Consider the following 14,579-nt stretch of genomic DNA (forward strand, 5'->3'; position numbering starts at 1 on the left):
TAAGGAAAAATGCATATAATTAGCAAGATGAGCTGAACCTCCCCCTTCTTTTCATTTAGAAGGCCCTTGTTCTAAGACTCCAGCATGTAGAAATTCTTTGAAAATTACATCACTTTTATTTCTACTGATTTTATTTTAAATTCTAAGGATGTGCCAAATGAGTCAGATACTAAGATTTATCTTTTGAAATTATGTACTGTGTTTCATTCCGTTATCTTTTATGTGGGTGCAATTCAAAAACATGAGAAATGCCTAAACTTTAAGTATTTTAGAGTAAAATTAAAAGAACAATTGGTAGTAACTTTTGCTCCATATGGGTAAGTGGTTGATGAGGTTGCCATGTTTTTCTGGAAAAGTAAAAAAATTATTCCAATTCAGGGGAAGTATCTCATCAGAGTCTTTCACATAGCCTGATGCCAAAAAGATGTTTCTTGGATATGAGACATGGTTTTGTGAGACATTGTACCTATAAAATTCCAGAGAAAAATAATGGGATTTACAGGTCAGTTGCAGAATGCAAATATACTGTTGACTTTAAACAAATAAACCTATTATATAAGCTATATTTGTTTTATTATTGAACATACCTTCAGTTTTATTTTTTGACACAGGGTCTCACTCTGTCACCCAGGCTTGCGTGCTGTGGCATGATCACAGCTCACTGCAGCCTTGACCTCTTGGGTTCAAGTGATCCTCCCAGGTCAGCCTCCCAAAGTACTGGGATTACAAGCATGAGCTGCTGTGCCTGGCCACCTTCAGTTTTCATATTCAAAAATTTTTAATTTGCTATAAAAATATATCAAATAGCATTTGGGAAAAATTTGATTTGCTATGACTTGCTTTCTTCTGAAAATACACGTGTACTGGGGGTTATAACGTATGTTAGAAATTGACATTATAAGTTCTTGGATAGGCACCAAAGTTGTATGGATTTTCTTCAGTGGAAAATGTAACTGAAGTCTAAGTCTTACGTTTTCAGATGTTACTTAGGTTAAGAAATGTGTGTGCTTGCTGGTTCTCTTTTTGATCTAGGTGTGCAATATGCCTTGATGAATGACAATTAGAATGTTTTTTTAAAGCAGCATCAATAAAATAATATTGTGACACTACATAAAATAAGCATACTTTGTCATTAGGAAATAGAAATAGATGTATGCCTGGGGGAATATTTCTTTGAGCAAAATAGCAGTCATAATTAGTGAATAGGTGTAACAATAAAAAGGCTTTATATGACAGATTAAAAAGGACTAGGAAAGTAATTGGGCTTGCTGAAGAAATTTTTATAACAAAAAAGTTGATACCTGTAGTGTTCACTGATATCCTATCTTAAAGGGAAAATACTCTGATAGTGTGTGTAATCTGAGCAGCTATGTTAAAGCCATTATTTTAGATTCGTTAGTGAGATTTGAGGATCCATGTTATCTACTATGGCCTGGTAAGAGGAGTAAGGCAATGTGAGAGGTGGAGAAGAAACCAAATATATCTTAAATGGAATATTTCCTCTTTGCTTAAACCAAATTATAAAAGTCCTTGTATAAACTGTTATTAACTGCCTTTGAAAATTTGGCCCATTTTACTCCAGACATTTAAAATACAAAGGCCAGCAAGAGTTTCTTATGTTTTTGAGAGAAAAACTTACTTTTCTTTCTTTTGGTTTTATTTTTTCACTCACTGTTGATTTTCAAAATGAACCAAGTTTTAAAAAAAGGATTACAGAAAATATTTCATTCTTTCAAATACTTTCTATGTCTCATGTGAATATTAATATCATGTACATCCTAAAAATGGAAACTATTTTTTAACCATCTTAACCATTTTTTTAAAAAAACTTTGTGGGTACGTAGCAGGTGTATATATTTATGGAGTACATGAAATGTTTTGATACAGAAATGCAATGGGTAATAATCACATCATGGAACACAGGGATTCCAGCCCCTCAAGCATTTATCTTTTATGTTACAAACAATCCAATTATATTCTTTTATTTATTTAAAAATGTACAATTAAATTATTGTTGACTCTAGTCACCCTGTTGTGCTATCAAGTGCTAGGTCTTATTCATTTATTCTATTTTTTTGTACCTATTAACCATCACTCCCCGTCTTCACCTCCTCACTACCTTTCCTAGCCTCTGACAACCATCCTTCTACTATTTATCTCTCTGGGTCCAATTGTTTTTATTTTTAGATCCCACAAATAATTAAGAACATGTGATGTTTGTCTTTCTGTGCCTGGCTTATTTCACTTAATATAATGACCTCCAGTTCCATCTACGTTGTTGCAAATGACTTAATCTCATTCCTTTTTATGGCTGAATAGTACTCCACTGTGTATAAGTGCACATTTTCTTTATTCATTCATCTGTTCATGGAAACTTAGGTTGCTTCCAAATCTTGGCTATTGTGAACAGAGCTGCAACAAACATGGAAGTGCAGATATATCTCTGATATACTGATTTGCCTTCTTTTGGGTATTTACCCAGCAGTGGGATTGCTGGATCGTATGGTAGCTCTATTTTTAGTTTTTTGAGGAACCTCCAAACTCTTCTCCATAGTGGTTGTACTAATGTACACTCCCATAAACAGTGTATGAGAGTTCCCTTTTCTTCACATCCTTACCAGAATTTATTATTGCCTGTATTTTGGATAAAAGCCATTTCAACTGGGGTGAGATGATATCTCATTGTAGTTTTGATTTGCATTCCTCTGATGATCAATGATGTTGAGTACCTTTCATGTGTCTATCATATGTGTGTCTTGTTTTGAGACATGTCTATTCAAATATTTTACCTATTTTTAAATTGGATTATTAGAATTTTTTTCTATAGATTTGTTTGAGCTCCTGATATATTCTGATTATTAAGCCCTTAAAGATGGGTAGTTTGTAAATATTTTCTCCCATTCTGTGGGTTTTCTCTCCACTTTGTTATTTCTTTTGCTGTGCAGAAGATTTTTAACTTCATGTGATCCCATTTGTCCATTTTTGCTTTGGCTGCCTGTGCTTGTGAGGTATTACTCAAGAAACCTTTGCCCAGACTGATGTCCTGGAGAGTTTCCCCAATGTTTTCTTGTAGTAGTTTCATAGCTTGAAGTCTTAGATTTAAGTCTTTAATTCATTTTGATTTTTCTATATGGTGAGAGATAGAGGTCTAGTTTCATTCTTCTGCATGAGGATATCCAGTTTTCCCAGCCCCATTTTTTGAAGAGACTGTCTCTAAAAATGTGAACTATCAAACTTAAGAACTATTACTAGTCACTAGGTCATAGGTATACATTAGTCTTTAATAAAATTAAGTTTTGGAAAAAATATCAGTTCCATCTACCTATTCAGTTTTGTTTTGTTTTGTCTTTTTTGAGATGGAGTCTCGCTCTGTTGCCCAGGCTAGAGTGCAATGGTGGGATCTTGGCTCACTGCAACCTCCGTCTCCCGGGTTCAAGCAATTCTCCTGCCTCAGCCTCCTGAGTAGCTGGGATTACAGGTGCATGCCACCATGCCTGGCTAATTTTTGTACTTTCAGTAGACGGGGTTTCCCTATATGTTGGCCAAGCTGGTCTCAGACTCCTGACCTCAGGTGATCCACCCACCTCAGCCTCCCAAAGAGCTGGGATTACAGGTGTGAGCCACTGTGCTTGGCCTCAATTTTGTATTCTAAGTATTAATCTCAATGTCCTCTAGTTGATTTGTCTGTAGCTGCTCTAACTTGTGAGTCTTGACTGTCATCTTTTTTATTAAGATTCTCTGTTAGACTGCATTTTCTATAAGTGGGTGTTGTGTACTTGTGCTTGGGAAAATTGTTGCTCTGGACTGTCCTGTGGCCTATTTTCAGGGAAAGTAGGGGACAAGCCACTGGGTGAGATTTCTCTTGGGTATTCTAGTCTAGTGCCCCCTGGCAATGACAGCCTCATGACATGGTCATGCCATGCCTCTTTAATTTGGGCCCCCTGGTCACAGCTCCAACCTGGAAGTGGACACTTTGTCACTGCTGTTTGGCTCAGGGGTAGATGGAAGGGCATTGATGAAGAAAGATCTACCTGGCCTCTTCTGCAGCACTACCCCAAGAACCTACATGTTGATTGCCCTTGACACCCTCCTGCTTCTGGTGTCTGCCACTTTAGGGGATGGGGCAGTCTTGCTGCTCCCTGCACCTTTTTTTTTAGCAATACTTCCCTGTGCGTGTTTTAGATTGGCCTTTCTGTCTTTGATCAATCCAGTGTTCACCTCATCCTTTAGGATTTTATCCCAGTTTCTGGTTCACTGAAGGTTTCACTTTTTATTCCGGATCACCAGTCAAGTCCCTCGCTGTAGGAGTAAAGAAGCTCTAGGATATACTCAGTCCATCATCCTGACATGGAACTATGGAACCTTCAAAATACCAAGTCATCTAACCTCCTATAACTGTAGCTTTCAAATCTGGCTGCATATGAGAACCAAAGGGGGAGGTTTAAGACAGAATACTGATACTCCAGACATTTTGATTTAGTTGCTCATGGGTGGGGGCATGGACATTGCTGTGTTTCTTTGTTTTAAAGCTCCCCACCTGCTGCTAACCACTATCCTAAAATAACAGAGCTGACTACCTCCGAGAGAGTCAGGCTTCAAAATGGTCTTCAGCAGGGGCTGAGAACCACCTGGAAGCCTCACCAGCTGGAACTTTCATCACAAAAGTCCAGATCTGCCCTCATAATCACATTTCTCCTCCTACACATGAGTATTTAAGCAATAGATTGTTTATCATTATTTTATCAATAGTCATCGTCATGGATAGTTAACATTTTTCATTCTGTCTGTGTTACTTATCAAATGTCACACTAGTTAAAAGTTTTTGGAAGCTTGCTCCAATAAACAGCTTTTCCTGTATGGCCAGGTCTTGATGTGATTGGTCAAGTTCCCTGATATGGCTATTGTATTTAATTAAATTCAGCTAATAATATTCATTTTCAAGTGTGCAGGTTGTAAAACAACTTTCAATGAAATCACAATGTACTTGTTTTATATTTTCTAGTCTTCAGTAGCTCTTGTTTGGTTTTAACTAAAAATTGGAAAAATGACAATTAAATGGCTTTTGAAGATAAAGTGACCCCAAGCACAATGGATTTCTCTAAACATCAGCAAAGATTCTTATTGGTCACTTACATAAATTTATGTAAACTGAAATGGGAACGTGTTTATGTACAATTTTGGATGTTCTTATTATCCAGTTAGGCTCACAATCTAGGACTAGGCCTATGGTCTTGTGAGGTCTTTGCACAATTTGTTGTTGACCAGTACTAGTCCCCAACCCCCAGGCTGTGGACTAGTACTGGTCGATGACCTGTTAGGAACCAGGCCGCACAGCAGAAGGTGAGTGAGCATTATTACCAGAGCTCTGCCTCCTGTCAGATCAGTGGTGGCATTAGATTCTCATAGGAGTGTGAACCCTATTGCAAACTGTGCATGTGAGGGATCTAGGTTGTGCGCTCTTTATGGGAATCTAACGAATGCCTGATGTTCTGGGGTGGAACAGTTTCATCCTAAAACCATCCCCCCATCATCCATGGAAAAATTGCCTTCCATGAAACTGGCCCCTGGTGCCAAAAAAGGCTGGGAACTGCTGATCTAGACAACATTATAGTAGTGCCTTATTCAGCAATGGGCAGGGAAACACCAGGCATGAAAATTGAATATTGAGTTAGAATAGGGTGCAGGTGGAAAGCAGGTATTGGGAAGAAAGAAAAAAAATTGGGGCCATGTGTTAGAGGACTGAATATCATGAAGTGGTGGCACCTCTTCCTTTCAGCAAGCTGAAAAAATTCCATAATGTCAGGAGACTGGAAAGAATATTCAAGACTGGTGATGGTTGTGGTGGTGGTGAGCTCCAAAGTGGCTAAGATTGTTTATAGGCAATCATCAAATGTATGTTTAATAAAGAGACTGTCAGGCCACTCAGATGCTGAATTTGGCTTCAAACTGTAAGGCTTTGAGAATTTTTCAGATATCCCACTGTCTTAGTTTGTACTGCTATAACAGAATACCATAGACTGAATAGCTTATAAACCACAGAAATTTATTTCTCACAGTCCTGGAGGCTGGAAGTCTGAGATCAAGGTGCAGCATGATCAGGTCCTAGAGAGGGCTCTCTTCTGGGTTGTAGACTTCCAGCTTCTCATATCCTCACATGACAGAAAGGGAGCTATCTAGCTCTCTGGCCTCTTCTTATAAGGGCACTAATTCCATTCATAAGGGCTCTACTCTCATGACCTAATCACCTCTAAAAGACCACACCTTCGAATACCATCACATCCAGGATTAGATTTCAACATATGAATTTAGTGGAGGGATGTAAACATTCAGTCCATTAACACAACACCCACTGAGCCAATGTTGCATGGATGGTAAATACCCACCCAACTATGAGTAAGGGAAGAAGTCATAGAATGGAAGAAACAAAGAGGAAGCAAGGAGGGACGCTGACTGGAAAGACTCTCTGGGAGGGAAATGGGAAACTGGTTATTTGGCAGAATAAAGAATTTGAAGGTGGAATAAATTAGAAGAAAAACAAGAGAATTGATGGAATTGTAAAAGAAGAAAAAGAAATAGGCTCACACTCAGAAAGAGCCCTAGTTCTGCCTAATCAATGTTTTTATTTCTCCTCATCAAAAATAATTTCTATTATATCTCCTGAGCACGGAAACATTGGTAAGAACTATTAACTTAGGTCAGTAAAGTGGGATAGGTAAATTATTTGGAATCAAAGTCTTAGTGGAGTTTTCATCTAATAAGAACAGAATACACTAATGGCCATTTCATGGGGCTACTGCAAGCAGAAACATTGTGTGTGATATGTCTCCAAATGTGATCATTTCAAATATCATTTGAGAACCCATGAAAATCTTTAGTAAATTTAATAATCCTAGAATCTTCCTTTTTTTCTAGTCTCTATGAAATTGCTCTCAAAAGTTAACAAATTTCAGTAATATAGCAATCAGATGACATTTCTATATTTATATGGCGGTTGGGCTCAGAGATAGCCTTTACAAGTGATGACAAGATTCAGGCTTTAGTAACTATAGTCTCACAGCAAAGTTTTCAACGCAGTCATACAGTGACATTTCAGTCAATGACCAACTGCAAATATGATGGTAGTCCCATAAGATTTTAATGGAACAAAAATTTTCTATCACCTACTGATTTGTGTTATGTTATTCCCTACCATATTCAGTACAGTAGCTTGCTGTACAGGTTGGTAGCCTAGGAGCAATAGGCTATACTATATAGCCTAGATTGTTAAGCGACACATGATTGTACATTGTAATTTGTTAGGTCTTTTGTTATTTAAAATATCCTCACAAAATTCCAGTGGGCAATACTTGGAAGTAAAGCTCTCCTCAGCAAATGTAAAAGAACAGACATTATAACAAACTATCTCTCAGACCACAGTGCAATCAAACTAGAACTCAGGATTAAGAATCTCACTCAAAACCGCTCAACTACATGGAAACTGAACAACCTGCTCCTGAATGACTACTGGGTACATAACGAAATGAAGGCAGAAATAAAGATGTTCTTTGAAACCAACGAGAACAAAGACACAACATACCAGAATCTCTGCGACGCATTCAAAGCAGTGTGTAGAGGGAAATTTATAGCACTAAATGCCCACAAGAGAAAGCAGGAAAGATCCAAAATTGACACCCTAACATCACAATTAAAAGAATTAGAAAAGCAAGAGCAAACACATTCAAAAGCTAGCAGAAGGCAAGAAATAACTAAAATCAGAGCAGAACTGAAGGAAAGAGAGACACAAAAAACCCTTCAAAAAATTAATGAATCCAGGAGCTGGTTTTTTGAAAGGATCAACAAAATTGATAGACCGCTAGCAAGACTAATAAAGAAAAAAAGAGAGAAGAATCAAATAGACACAATAAAAAATGATAAAGGGGATATCACCACCGATCCCACAGAAATACAAACTACCATCAGAGAATACTACAAACACCTCTACGCAAATAAACTAGAAAATCTAGAAGAAATGGATAAATTCCTCGGCATATACACTCTCCCAAGACTAAACCAGGAAGAAGTTGAATCTCTGAATAGACCAATAACAGGAGCTGAAATTGTGGCAATAGTCAATAGTTTCCCAACCAAAAAGAGTCCAGGACCAGATGGATGCACAGCCGAATTCTATCAGAGGTACAAGGAAGAACTGGTACCATTCCTTCTGAAACTATTCCAATCAATAGAAAAAGAGGGAATCCTCCCTAACTCATTTTATGAGGCCAGCATCATTCTGATACCAAAGCCGGGAAGAGACACAACCAAAAAAGAGAATTTTAGACCAATATCCTTGATGAACACTGATGCAAAAATCCTCAATAAAATACTGGCAAAACGAATCCAGCAGCATATCAAAAAGCTTATCCACCATGATCAAGTGGGCTTCATCCCTGGGATGCAAGGCTGGTTCAATATACGCAAATCAATAAATGTACTCCAGCATATAAACAGAACCAAAGACAAAAACCACATGATTATCTCAATAGATGCAGAAAAAGCCTTTGACAAAATTCAACAACCCTTCATGCTAAAAACTCTCAATAAATTAGGTATTGATGGGATGTATTTCAAAATAATAAGAGCTATCTATGACAAACCCACAGCCAATATCATACTGAATGGGCAAAAACTGGAAGCATTCCCTTTGAAAACTGGCACAAGACAGGGATGCCCTCTCTCACCACTCCTATTCAACATAGTGTTGGAAGTTCTGGCCAGGGCAATCAGGCAGGAGAAGGAAATAAAGGGCATTCATTAGGAAAAGAGGAAGTCAAATTGTCCCTGTTTGCAGACGACATGATTGTATATCTAGAAAACCCCATTGTCTCAGCCCAAAATCTCCTTAAGCTGATAAGCAACTTCAGCAAAGTCTCAGGATACAAAATCAATGTACAAAAATCACAAGCATTCTTATACACCAATAACAGACAAACAGAGAGCCAAATCATGAGTGAACTCCCATTCACAATTGCTTCAAAGAGAATAAAATACCTAGGAATCCAACTTACAAGGGATGTGAAGGACCTCTTCAAGGAGAACTACAAACCACTGCTCAAGGAAATAAAAGAGGATACAAACAAATGGAAGAACATTCCATGCTCATGGGTAGGAAGAATCAATATCGTGAAAATGGCCATACTGCCCAAGGTAATTTACAGATTCAATGCCATCCCCATAAAGCTACCAATGACTTTCTTCACAGAATTGGAAAAAAACTACTTTAAAGTTCATATGGAACCAAAAAAGGGCCTGCATCGCCAAGTCAATCCTAAGGCAAAAGAACAAAGCTGGAGGCATCACGCTACCTGACTTCAAACTATACTACAAGGCTACAGTAACCAAAACAGCATGGTACTGGTACCAAAACAGAGATATAGATCAATGGAACAGAACAGAGCCCTCAGAAATAACGCCGCATATCTACAACTATCTGATCTTTGACAAACCTGAGAAAAACAAGCAATGGGGAAAGGATTCCCTATTTAATAAATGGTGCTGGGAAAACTGGCTAGCCATATGTAGAAAGCTGAAACTGGATGCCTTCCTTACACCTTATACAAAAATCAATTCAAGATGGATTAAAGACTTAAACGTTAGACCTAAAACCATAAAAACCCCGGAAGAAAACATAGGCATTACCATTCAGGACATAGGCATGGGCAAGGACTTCATGTCCAAAACACCAAAAGCAATGGCAACAAAAGACAAAATTGACAAATGGGAACTAATTAAACTAAAGAGCTTCTGCACAGCAAAAGAAACTACCATCAGAGTGAACAGGCAACCTACAAAATGGGAGAAAATTTTCGCAACCTACTCATCTGACAAAGGGCTAATATCCAGAATCTACAATGAACTCAAACAAATTTACAAGAAAAAAACAAACAACCCCATCAAAAAGTGGGCGAAGGACATGAACAGACACTTCTCAAAAGAAGACATTTATGCAGCCAAAAAACACATGAAAAAATGCTCATCATCACTGGCCATCAGAGAAATGCAAATCAAAACCACTATGAGATATCATCTCACACCAGTTAGAATGGCAATCATTCAAAAGTCAGGAAACAACAGGTGCTGGAGAGGATGTGGAGAAATAGGAACACTTTTACACTGTTCATGGGACTGTAAACTAGTTCAACCATTGTGGAAGTCAGTGTGGCGATTCCTCAGGGATCTAGAACTAGAAATATCATTTGACCCAGCCATCCCATTACTGGGTATATACCCAAATGACTATAAATCATGCTGCTGTAAAGACACATGCACACGTACGTTTATTGCGGCATTATTCACAATAGCAAAGACTTGGAACCAACCCAAATGTCCAACAATGATAGACTGGATTAAGAAAATGTGGCACATATACACCATGGAATACTATGCAGCCATAAAAAATGATGGGTTCATGTCCTTTGTAGGGACATGGATGAAATTGGAAATCATCATTCTCAGTAAACTATCGCAAGAACAAAAAACCAAACACCGCATATTCTCACTCATAGGTGGGTATTGAACAATGAGATCACATGGGCACAGGAAGGGGAATATCACACTCTGGGGACTGTGGTGGGGTTGGGGGAGGGGGGAGGGATAGCATTGGGAGATATACCTAATGCTAGATGACGAGTTAGTGGGTGCAGCGCACCAGCATGGCACATGTATACATGTGTAACTAACCTGCACAGTGTGCACATGTACACTAAAACTTAAAGTATAATAAAAAATAAAAAATAGAAAATAAAAAATTCCAGTGGGCAGGGCCCCTCAGGAGCTGAAGTCATATCAGAAAGTGGTAGTGACTGCTGAGTCTCAATGAGATGCCAAGTGCCAGCCAATGCTGCTTCTGCATTTGTGTGCACCAGAAAGGGGAAAATGTCAAGTTCTCAAAATAAAACAAATGAAAAACCCAACAGCAACAAAGAGCAGCCACACATGAGAACAATTTGAGTTTCTTTCAGGGACACTGTCTTTCCATTTGAATAGCTTTATGCTCCGGGACTCCTGTTGGATCTGCTGTGAGCTATTTTTTTTTTTTTTTTCCCCTAAGCAGAGCTTGCTTTAAACCACGGTCTGTGGACCATCCTTTATTAAGGAATTAATAAAGCCCTCCTATTGCCCACAGACCCTTCCTCTCCTGATGGTAGTCTTGGAAAGGGGAACACAGTCTTCTATCTCACAGTTAACACTGAGGCTTAGAATCATCGCGGAAGACTTAACACAGTGACTGGTCGTCATTCTAGGATAAAAACGAGGGATATTAGAGGGCAGAGAGCATGATGATTACCTATAGTGTGGACAGTGGTAAGGCGATGGGGGTAGGAAGCAGGAGGGAGGGCAAGAAAATGGTAGTGAAAGGGAGATGATACAACCTTCTGCCACATCTGCCTAAGGCAAGGCTGGGTGACAGTAGTTTTTTTAGTCCAGCAAACCTTCCCACTCCCACTCATAAAGTGATCTCTAATTCTCTGGCACAACAGGTGCTTGCCACATGTAATTCTTGGAAACTGCTGAGTTTCCTTGTGCGGGTAATTTGTAACACTTACAACTACTTCTCCTCCTGGGGCTGCTGCTGTGGCTTCCTGGAAAGAGTGTCCATTCCTGTGCTCTGATGGATCACAGCTGCAGATTGCCCGGGCTTTGCTCATCACCACATGGCTATCATGTCACAAGCACATTCATACATGTGTTTTAGGGAAGTCATGTGATTATTTCTTCCATTACCTAAAGCTGTACAGCTAGCTAAGTGTTATGGGCCAGAGGTAGATTTGAAATTTAGTCATTAGACCCACAATCAGCATGAACTATTGGGTAAATGCTCATGAGAACATGTTTACATGTGCGTGTGTGTGGGGGTGTGCATGTGTGTGTGTGTGGGGGGGGTGTGTGCAGGAGGAGAGGGTGTCTCATCTCTGAACACTTCTAAAAGGGTAAAAATCCCAAGCACGCCTCACTCAGGGGCCTCAGCTCATGCCCCACTTGAGCTGCATTAGTGAGCTTGTGCATTCTTAGGTAAGTACATACTTAGTACAGTTTCCTCAGGGAAGCTGAGCCACAAGTACATGACTGCTTACTTACCATTTGGACATCTGACACAATCCACTTGCTCCCATTTTCCTAAAGACACAGCATGCGGTTGCATCTGTGGTTATCCATAGTAAAGCTTTGCCAGTCAACTCAGTGGGTCTGCATGCTCATTCTGATCTTACAACAGTCAAATGGAGCCTCGCTGAGGCTTTGGATGAAAGGTCACACTCTCCCTCCCAATGCACTCAATGAATTGCTATTGTGTTTGGAGTGCCCTGCCCACTGTCACCACCTATTTTAAACAGCACATGACTCTGACTCACAGAAAAGAGCAAAGAACTGCATGAAGGCTGTATAACATGCTGCACACCCACTCCCTTGGGCAAGGGCCCAAAAACACTCAGGCCTCTGAGTGTCTTAGGTGAGAACCCTTTCCTCCTCTGGCATCTCTGAACAGATCCAATGAGTGAGGTTACCGAGGTTTTGCAACAAACAAGCAAACATTTGAAAATATCTCCCAAACATACAAGTTGACAACTTAAACAAGAATGTGGGGCAAAAAAAAAAAAAGTCGTCATTTATAGCTTGATGCCTTCTATGATATAGTTAGCTATGCCCAGATGCTGTGGGTGGGAAGAAGCCTGAAAGACTCCCCATCAACAGGGGTTCTGAGGCTGCCAAAGACGGCCTCATTAAAGGGGCCAGTGGCTCCAGGTGATATCGTGGAACACAGTCCAGTTCTTTTCTCCACTGGATCTTTTCTTTACTAGGTTAATTCTCAGAGGTTGTTTTTGTGAGAGCCCCTTTAGCAGCAAGGTGTGAAATCCACTCAAATTAGCTTACGTAAATTGTCTATTGTGTGGGGACAGCAGAGAGAAGGGAGAAAGCTTACTGTAGGTATAAAAAAGTCTTTGGGGAAACTTAGAATTGCTAAAGAGCTAGACCTTAGTAGGGGCTAGAACTGGGACCCCTCAGAAGCCCTCTACATCCTTCACTTTAGGCAGGGTTCACTGACCCCACTGCCTATAGGGCTCACACATGTGAAATAGTGGGGTCTAAAAAGGAAACTTGCTTATACCACTCAGCCTCTGGGCCTGGGGAGCTGTAGAGAGAGGTGGGGAATCTGGCCACTGAAATAAAACAAAATTCTCTGTTCACTGAGTCTCCTGTGAGTTTGCTGAAAGTTGCTCATCTATTCTGAGCAGCAGGTGAGTCTGGGGCAGGCCCCTTGGTCCTCTGTATGGACACTTATGCGAGCATGTGTGTGATCTTGAAATGTATGTTCTAAAAGTCTGAAAAGTCTCAAATGCACCTCAAGTCTGGCCTCTCTGGTTCAGCATGTTCATTCTTAAGATAACCACAATTTCCATGCAGTTTGCTCTGGAAGGCCCACCTAGTTTTAAATGTGAAATACTTTAGTTTTTAAGTGTTGGCAATCATTTAAATTTCAAACCTCACAGGCCAAACAAAACATGTCGTGTATCAGTTATGTCCTGTGGGTGGCTGGTTTGTGGTGACTGGTACCTCATCATACACAGTCCACACATCTGTTTCTTTATGGTCCTCAACCAAATTGGCAAGTTCTATATGTCTCTAAGCTCAGAATTCCTGGAGAGTAATTTATTTGGTCTCTGGCTTGGTTAGGGCCCATTCCCGGTTCAATCACATGGTACACAGAACTGCCATTGTTAGAAGTTGTAGGTGAGGAGTGGGTGTGGTAGATAAACTGACTGAAAGTCTGCTATCATTGTTGGATGTTTCCAGATTTGTTTCCTCTTTGGATCATGTTCTTGAACTCAGAAGGAGCAGAGGATTTATCTGGTTTGAAATTTCTGAAACTTTCTAAGTCAAATGAATCAGCAGTCATCAGCTGCCCCATGAAAATGTCCCAGAATGCATAGGTAGAGGTGGCATCATACTCCAACAGGGACTAAGACTGGCTCCTTCTCCACCAATTACATCTCAGTTTTTGAGAAAATTGATGAAGATGGGCCATGACCTGAGCTTTTCTTGTTGCCAGGATGCCTCTTCTCTTTTTCTTCACATTTCCAAACTATGCCTCTCTTCCTTACGAATGTTTGTTTCGAAATAGGTCTGTGTCTGATGACCTTTCCTGTAGGAAGAGTTCCAGAATATTCTCTCCCCAGTAAGAAAAAGAATTGGCAATTGGCAGTTTCTGAAATGAGCTTATTGTCTTCACACAGTTCTCATTTTCAGAAAAGCGGGAAGGACTGGCAATGCTGCACATTCTCTGTGCCTGCTTGGTCTGCTCACATCATTTGCATTCTGATCCAGCATTTTCCACTTCATTTTCAAAGCCTCTGTAGACTCCACTCTTCATCTGTGTAGTATAAAAGATAGCATTTCTCAACTTCACAAAGATTTCTTTTCAAACATTCTATTTCTGGAAGGTAGAACCAGTGTTCTTTGCTGCTTTTTCTACCCACCCACAGCAGGGTACAGAGTCACCCTATCTGACATGGGGCAGAACACCTGAGTGTGGGTCCAGTTCTCCG

General features: G+C 39.8%; 1 annotated feature.

The window, feature by feature from the left end:
• Window positions 12,223-12,372: an enhancer, noted in NCBI's record as "active region_22929". NCBI's record gives its function as "activates an Ori minimal core promoter by ATAC-STARR-seq in GM12878 lymphoblastoid cells {active_cell/tissue: GM12878}" and the evidence as "EXISTENCE:reporter gene assay evidence [ECO:0000049][PMID:35858748]".

This window comes from Homo sapiens, chromosome 5 (assembly GCF_000001405.40).
Source record: "Homo sapiens chromosome 5, GRCh38.p14 Primary Assembly".
Lineage (NCBI taxonomy): Eukaryota > Metazoa > Chordata > Mammalia > Primates > Hominidae > Homo > Homo sapiens.